This window comes from Homo sapiens, chromosome 1 (assembly GCF_000001405.40).
Source record: "Homo sapiens chromosome 1, GRCh38.p14 Primary Assembly".
Taxonomy (NCBI): domain Eukaryota; kingdom Metazoa; phylum Chordata; class Mammalia; order Primates; family Hominidae; genus Homo; species Homo sapiens.
In genome coordinates this window covers 90,411,002-90,419,354 of record NC_000001.11, presented here as the reverse complement: position 1 = coordinate 90,419,354, position 8,353 = coordinate 90,411,002, and the positions used below count along the sequence as shown (strand labels likewise).

The following is an 8,353-nucleotide window of genomic DNA, read 5'->3' as shown; positions in this document are numbered from 1 at the left end:
GAATGTTCTTTTGTCTAAACATTTGTTACTCTGGGTATTTTTTTTTCTCTTTTTGACAATCTAATGGACGATAAGTAGTATCTTATTGTTTTAATTATTATTTCATTGGTTGTTAATGAGATTGAACATATTTTCATGTACACTGGTAATTTCTTTCTCTTTTTTGTGATTTTCCTTTTTGCATTATTTGCCAATTTTTCTATTGTGTTGTTTGTCTTTATCTTATTAATTTATAGATTTTCTTGTTAATTTATAGAAGCTGTTTATATTTTATGGATTTTAACAATTTGCCTATTATTTGTGATGAAAGTGTTGTCTCCTTGTTTGTCCCTTATCTAATACATTGGCTTATGATTATTTAGAAGTTTTAAATTTTTAGGTAGTCTGTCCATCTTTTACTTTATGAGTTATAGCTTTCTTGTCTTACTTAGGAAGAACAACCCACCCTAAAATTTCTAAAGTATTCTTTATATTTTTACCCAGTAGTATTCATTGCTTTAAAGATTAGGAACATAAAAAGTCATCCAAAATAAAAAGTCACATGTCAAATAAAATGATTTTTTAGTTGTTTTTTGAGAAAGTAGGTTCTAGAGCTAGGCTCTCTGAGTTTCTTTCCAGCTGTATGACCTTGGGCAAGTTACTTAAACTTTCTATGCTTCAGTTTCTCCATCTGTAAGATGAGGTTAATGATAGTACCCATTTCATGGAATTGTTGTGAGAAATAAATGAGTTAATAGATGTCAAGTGCTTTGAATAATGTTTGACACATAAAAAACAATGTTTAAGTGTTAGCTAAAAATATGCATTGGTGGTATTACTTCCTGAATCTAAGGAGTGGGAAAAAGAAATGTATCTATTACATTGTGAACACTTATAATGTTCTGACATTAACACAGGAGCTTGTGTTCAGTGTATTATGTGGTAGATATTACCACTGAGGCTCAGAGAAGCTAAGTTACTCATTTATGGTCATATAGGTAAAACAAAGTGATTCAACTAGGGAAGCTCATGTTCTTTTACTATGATCCCTGAAGTGACCCAGGCAGAGGTCTACATACAGAGGAAGATTCTACTTTAAGGTTTGTAGCTTTGAAATATCATGAAACTTGAAGATTACTTCTAGACTGTTATACATTAACCAAGTAACTGAAAAAAAATTATAGATGCAGGAACATGTTTGAATATAATAGCCTATATCTATTATCAATAACCTGTGATCTACCTCTCCCTGTCAAAAGAGAAATGAGAGAACCTATGTTAGCTCCTGTTAGTCACTAGTTTCTATTATTATTTTAACATTTTGTCAAAATTTGGTAAAGAGCTAATGAATGTCACACTAAGCAACTTTTGTCTTTTTTGTATCTTAAATAAATTTGTTTGATAGTCTGCACATGCTTTCGTTTTGGGGAAATGTAAGGAACCAGTCGTTGCTACTTTATCATCAAAATAAATATTGAAGCTTCCATGTATTAGTTCTTACTACAGAAGGCAGTATAACATTATGATAAACATTTCAGACTCAGGGACCAAATCACATAGGCTGAAGTCCCAGTTCTACAACTTAGTCGTGTGACGTTGGTCAACATACGTAACCTCTCTCATTGATAAACTGAGAACCACTCGTTGTTTTTTCCTTCATTTCTGTTACCCATTGGTTTTTCCCCAATTCTGTTAGCAACTGGATTATTTAGATGCTTACTTATTCCAAGAAGGGATGCCATAGTAGAAAGAGGGAAGAGGAAGTTGAAACAGGATTTGTGTTTTAAAATACGTTATATAGCAAATGGCATATATGATAGTATCAAAAGAAAAGGCCTTTGAGTTGAGATAGCCTGTTCTTTTAGTTTAATTTCAAAAGTCTAAGTTTCACAGGTCTCAGAGCATAATGAATTTTCTCCTCATAAACAAAACAGGCATATCTCAACCTCAGAGATATTGTGGGTCCAGGCCATTGCAATAAAGCAAATATCACAATGAAGTGAGTCATGCACATTTTTTTGGTTTCCCAGTGCACATAATAGTTATGTTTCCACTATACTGTAGTCCATTAAGTGGACAATAGTGAGTAATGCTATTGCCCACTTAATGGACTACAGTATAGTGTAAACATATTATACTGTATGTTTATATACCTCAATGACAAATATTATATTGCTAAAATATGCTAATAGCATTTGAGCTTTCAGCAAGTCATAACCTTTTTGCTGGTGGAGGCTCTTGCCTTGATGTTGATGGCTGCTGACTGATCAGGGTGGTGGTTGCTTAAGGTTGGGGTGGCTGTGGTAATTTCTTAAAATAAGACAATGATGAAGTTTGCCACATCTATTTATCCTTCTTTCACAAAAGATTGCTCTGTAGCATGTGATGTTGTTTGACAGCATTTTACCCATAGTAAAACTTCTTCTACAATTGGAGTCAATCCTCTCAAACCCTGACACTGCTTTATCAGCTAAGTTCATGTAATATCTAAATTGTTTGTTGCCATTTCGATAATGTTCACAGCATCTTCATCAGGAGTACATTCAATCTCAAGAAATCACTTTGTTCATCCATAAGAAGCAACTCCCTAACCATTAAAATTTTCTCATGAGATTACAGCAATCTCGTGACTTCTGTTACATATTTGGGATCCACTACTAATTCTAGCTCTCATGGTATTTCTACCACATCTGCAGTGACTTCCTCCACAGAAATCTTGAACCCCTCGAAGTTATCCATAAGGGTTGAAATCGACTTCATCCAAACTCCTATTAATGTTGATATTTTAACCTCCTCCCATGAATGGCAAATGTTCTTAATAGCTTCTAGAATGGTGAATTATTTCTAGAAAATTTTCAATATATTTTGCCCAGATCCATCAGAGGAGTTACTAGCCTTATAAAATGTAGTTTTTAAATAAGACATAAAAATCAAAATTAATCCTGGATTTATGAACTATAGAATGGATATTGTGTGAAAACAACATCCATCTCCTTACACAACTCCATCAGAGCTTTGATGAGGTACATTGTACATGAACAGTAATGTTTTGAAAGGAACATTTCTTTTTTCTGAGCAGTAGGTCTCAACAGTGGGCTTAAAATATTTGGTAAACCATGCTCTAAACAGGTGTGCTGTCATCCAGATATTGTTGTTTCACTTCTATAGTATAGTCAGGGTTGATTTAGCATAATTTGTAAGGGCCCTGAAACTTTCAGAGTGGTAAATGATCATTGGCTTCAATTTAAAGTCACCAGCTACATTAACCCCTAACAAGAGAGTCAGCCTGTCTTCTAAAGCTTTGAAGCCAGGCATTGACTTTTCCTCTCTAGCTATGGAAATTTTAGATGTCATTTTCTTCCAATATAAGGCTGTTTCATCTACACTGAAAATATGTTGTTTAGTGTAGCCGTCTTCATAAACTGTCTTGGCTAGATAGATTTTCTGGATAACTTGCTGCGGTTCCTATATCAGCACTTGCTGCTTCACCTTGCACTTTTATGTTATAGAGATAGCTTTTTCCTTAAACTTCATGAACCAATCTCTGCTAGCTTCCAACTTTTCTTCTGCAGTTTTCTTACCTCTCTCAGCCTTTGTGAGCTGAGGAGAGTTAAGGCCTTGCTCTGGATTAGGCTTTGACTTAAGGGAATGTTGTGGCTGGTTGGATTTTCTATTCAGACCACTAAAACTTTCTCTGTATCAGCAATAAGCCTGTTTTGCTTTCTTATCATTTGTGTGTTCACTAAAGTAGTGCTTTTAATCTCCTTCAAAAACTTCCTTTGCATTCACATCTTGGCTAACCAGTTGGTGCAAGAAGCCTGGCTTTCAGCCTGTCTTGGCTTTCAACATGCCTTCCTCACTAAGCTTCATCATTCATTGCTAGCTTTTGATTTAAAATGAGAGATGTGCAATTCTTCATTTGAACACTTAGAGGCCATTGTAAGATTATTAATTGGCCTAATCTCAATATTATTGTATCTTAGGGAATAGGGAGTCCTGAGAAGTGGAAGAGAGATGGGGGAATGGCCAGTGAGTGGAGTAATCAGAACACACACCACATTCATCAATTAACTGCACTGTCTTCTATGGGCATGGTTCATGCCACCCTAAAACAATGATGACAGTAACATCAAATATCACTGATTACTGTAACAGATTTAATAATAATAAAAAGTCTGAAATAATGTGAGAACTACCAAAATATAACACAGAGACATGAAGTGAGCACATGCTGTTGGGAAAATGGCGCTGATAGACTTGCTCAAAGTAGGATTGTCACAAATCTTGAATTTGTGTTGAATCCGAGAAGCACAATAAAGCAAAGCACAATAAAATGAGGTGTGCTGTATATTGAGAATAGAAAAAAGTCAGCTTGTCACACTCTTGGACTTGGTGGAGTCCACTGGTCTGTTTGTGTGGAGGGAGAAAAATTAGAGAAAGAAAGAAGGCAGCTCGGAATCTGTTAGCCTGAGAGAAAGGCTTGTGTCCTATGCACCAAACATCTCCACCCCTGGTGAATTCTGGTACAGAGATAGAATCTCCAGAAAGGTCTGAGTTTCTGAGAAGAGAGGACTGCATGCTCTGCTTAGGAGCAAGCATCTTGGTATTGCTGACATGCTGTGTGGCATGTGAGCAGGAGCAGGGTATCTACATACAGGGCAGACTTCATGACCAAGTGGCATGTTCAGTCACCCAGGCCTCACTCTTGATCTAATACTCTCCTGTCACCACCTTAAGACTCCTAATACTTTTTTAATAAGGAACCCATTGTGCTCATTTTGTACTTGACCTCACAATTGATGTAGCTTGTCCTGCCTGCAGAAAGGTGCCTGAAAAGGGTTGAATCCTCAGCATAGAATGAGATCAGTTATTATAATGTCCCCACCTACTGAGAGGGAGAGGTAGCTGGGAGACAGCTAACAGACCTGAAGAATCTGTGCAGTGGAGACAAGGAGGATGCTATGGTAACAGCATGGACTGATGACCACAAGCCAGTTGGCACAGCAGACATGTAGGTGAATGCCAGCATGGATACTACACAGTACTGAGGACCAGATGCTCCTAGTTGATGACTGGACATCTCATAAGTGTCCCGGAACTCCTGGTCTTCCAGGGAAATATGGGGGGAGAACTAAAATAGCCTGAGATTTTTGTTTCCCACACCCTATCCAATTGGGGCTCAAAATAAATTTAATAAAAATGACATTTCTTGCATGCATGAATGTATGGACTATAGTTTTAACTTATTATTTCATAGGTAAAGTGTGACTTATTTTACAACTGGTTTATTTGTGCATGCATTGCTATTTATGTAAGAACTATGCATCTTGCATGTTAGTGGTTTTATTTAAATTTAAAGCTCATGGTTTTGCTCCTTCTACTTAATATAACAGTTTCTCCTGCTGGCAGTCAGTTTAGATATTGAATTATTTCTCAAAAGACTTTAACTGGGTAATTCTCAGGTGACCTAAACTAATTTATTGGCCTTGTAAATCTCAGACTCTTAATTTTCAACCTTCTCTTGTTAAGATATGTCCTGGAAAGCCAACATGCATTTGTTAAATTCTGAATTACAGAAGACAGGCAACCATCTGGAACTGGAGACGTGAAGGGTTTCAGAAGAGCCCTTCACATTGTGAAGCATCATTCATGTGCTCTCAGGTTTGCCTTGTGCTATAGAGGACAAAGCCAATGACAGCCACCTTGGTCTCCTCTAGCACAAAGCAGTCGAGATGACACTAGACATAAATGGGATATGTGACTTCAAAGGAATGCCATGTCTGAGTTTCCGCATATATATCATATATGAGTTTCCTCATATATATCAAACCATATATAATATAATATGAGGGTCCCCCCACCACCATGCAAGTAAAATATTTCAAAATCTTGAACTGAGATTTACATCAATGCAAAAATGTTGTTAAAGTAAGGCTTGCTTTATAGAAGATTATGTCTCCAAGTGCGGAAATCTCCAGTGTCCTTGTACATGCATGAGAACTTTTTGTCTCTGCAAATGTCCCATTCATCTTTAATAGTGTCTGTACACCTCATAGGGTGCCCTAACAGTGTGAGCACAATATCCAAAGAGCAAGTGTCAAGTAGGCATCAGCAAAGCAAGGTATAAACAGAGAAAATGAGATTGCGCAGGGTGTAGGAGGATGAGAAAAAGAAATGATATAGTTTCTAGTTTACTAGATAGGGCCTATCTGAAAAAGTATTGTAGTCCAGTTTTAAAATGATAAACACATAGGGCTGAAAGGGCCCCCAAGAAGTCATCTGCTCCTTCCCCCAACCTCCAGGGAGGTTTTGTCTAAACCATTTTATACAGAGAGGTATCTGTCATGTTCTTAAAATTCTGTGGGGAAGTGCATTTGACAGCCTCTCTAGTATCCCATTATAATGCTTTATAACCACAAGTGTCAGGAAGCCCCCTCCTATACATATATATCCTTTTCTTCTCTAGCTAAAGCCCATTGTTTCCTGTTCTATCCTTAGTAGAGAAATGTTCATACATCTGGATACAGCTTCTGAATAATAATCTTTCCTATGTTTAAAGAGACATTAAGTGAACCATTTCTTTCTCTTCTTGAGACTAAATACTCCCAGAGGCTTTATCCTTTTTGCATTCACTCATTTTCCGTGTCCCTGTGAAGTTTTTGAGTCTCAAGCTGGGCTTCTTTTCTTGGCAGGAGTTTTCTTTGTGGGGGTTTCCAATGCGGAAATACTTTTTCAGTACTACTTCTACATGATTGACTTTCAAGACTCATCCACATAAACACTGTACAATAGAGTGAGAATGTGTCACTGGATTCTGTAGAAATGTAACCGAGCATTTTCCATGCCACCCGTTTCCTAGTGAATTCAAGGGTCCCTGAATTTCCCTGGCAGAAAGCAAACTAGGATCATGAGAGATGTTGGAAGGACTGTGGGAGCTGGCCTCAGCTCACAAGGTAGGAGGAAAGTTTAATTTCTTGATGTCACATCTTTAAGAGCCTCTATGACCCCAGCCCAAATGCCCCTGAGATGATCATTTGCAAACCCGGCAACCATTTTGAGCTCCTTGATGACTATCAGCCCAGAGACTAAGAATAAAGGCCTAATTCTTTGCTTCCCCCAAAAGGCTACAGCTCTAGGAAGATTTGGACATTGCCCCCATGGGTTCTGGGCAGCCCATGACTCTTCTGAAAGGAGGTTTGGAGGAATAGCAGAGACAGGAAGTTGAATCCTGCCCCTGACATTCTTCCCAACCAAACAAAGCCAACACTCAGTGCTAAGGTTTGAGAATGTCCTCCAAAAGTTCAAATGTTGGAAACTTGGTTGCCATTGGGGTGGTGTTGAGAGGCAGTGCCTTTGGGAGGCGATTGGGTCATGAGGGTTCTGCCCTCATGAATGGATTAATGCTGTTATCCCTGGAGTGGGTTAGTTATTGTGGGAGTGGCTTTGTTATAAAAGCAAGCTTTCTCTTACCCATACACACTCACTATGTGATGCTGAAACCACCTTCACAAATTAAAAAAAGTCACAAGATTAAAATTGTCACGGGGCTTAAATTTTTGGTAAGATATTTTCCTTTCTCTCTTTTTCCTCCTCCATGCATGATTGCTTGCATATAGTCATTTCAACAAATGATAGTCACTAATAATTGATTATCTTCCTGTCTTAGCCCCTGAGCAGGCTGCCTACAAGATTGATGAACTTGTTTTTTCTTTTAAAGAACAATGATCCTTAGATCATGAAGACCCCCTTGATGGCTTCCAGAAGTTGGACTAGTCAAGAGAGTGCCAGTCAGCTTTGACTACCAGGGATCTCACCTTCTGCAAACTTTCCTGCTAAGCTATAGGCATAGTTACACAATAACCCACCATTGTTTCCCAGCTTGTTTTCCATAGTAACTGGCAGTTTTAAACACTATTGTAAAACCGAAGACTGGTCTTTGAGATATTTTTTAGACTTTGCCCGCAAGTAAACCAACTGACACCAACTGAACCGGTGTCCTGTGATGTTAACCAAGAAACAGACTTGGCTGGTCTTGTGACTCACCTCCTTTCTCAGGAACCAATTCAATGCATGAAGACAGCTTCAACACCCCTATGATTTCATCTCAGACCAATCAGCATTACACATCCCCTACCTTTCTGCCTGCCAAATCATCTTTAAAATCTCTAGCCTCTGAAGTCTCTGGCAGGTGATTTTGAGAAATATCTCCTATCCTCCTTGCTGAGTTGCCTTGCAATAGTTAAACTATTTCTTCATTGCAATACTTGTTGTCTCAGTGTTCAGCTCTGTCTGGGCAGCAAGCAAGAACCTGGTCAGGCAGTAACAATGCCTTCCTCCGTGTTCTTTCCAGATGCTGGGGCCATACTCTTGGACT

At 38.1% G+C, this 8,353-nt stretch overlaps 1 annotated feature.

The window, feature by feature from the left end:
- Nucleotides 6,866-8,065: an enhancer, noted in NCBI's record as "BRD4-independent group 4 enhancer chr1:90876847-90878046 (GRCh37/hg19 assembly coordinates)". NCBI's record gives its function as "activates an origin of replication core promoter dependent on BRD2, P300/CBP, MED14 and CDK7 cofactors, and independent of BRD4, by STARR-seq in HCT116 cells {active_cell/tissue: HCT116}" and the evidence as "EXISTENCE:reporter gene assay evidence [ECO:0000049][PMID:35650434]".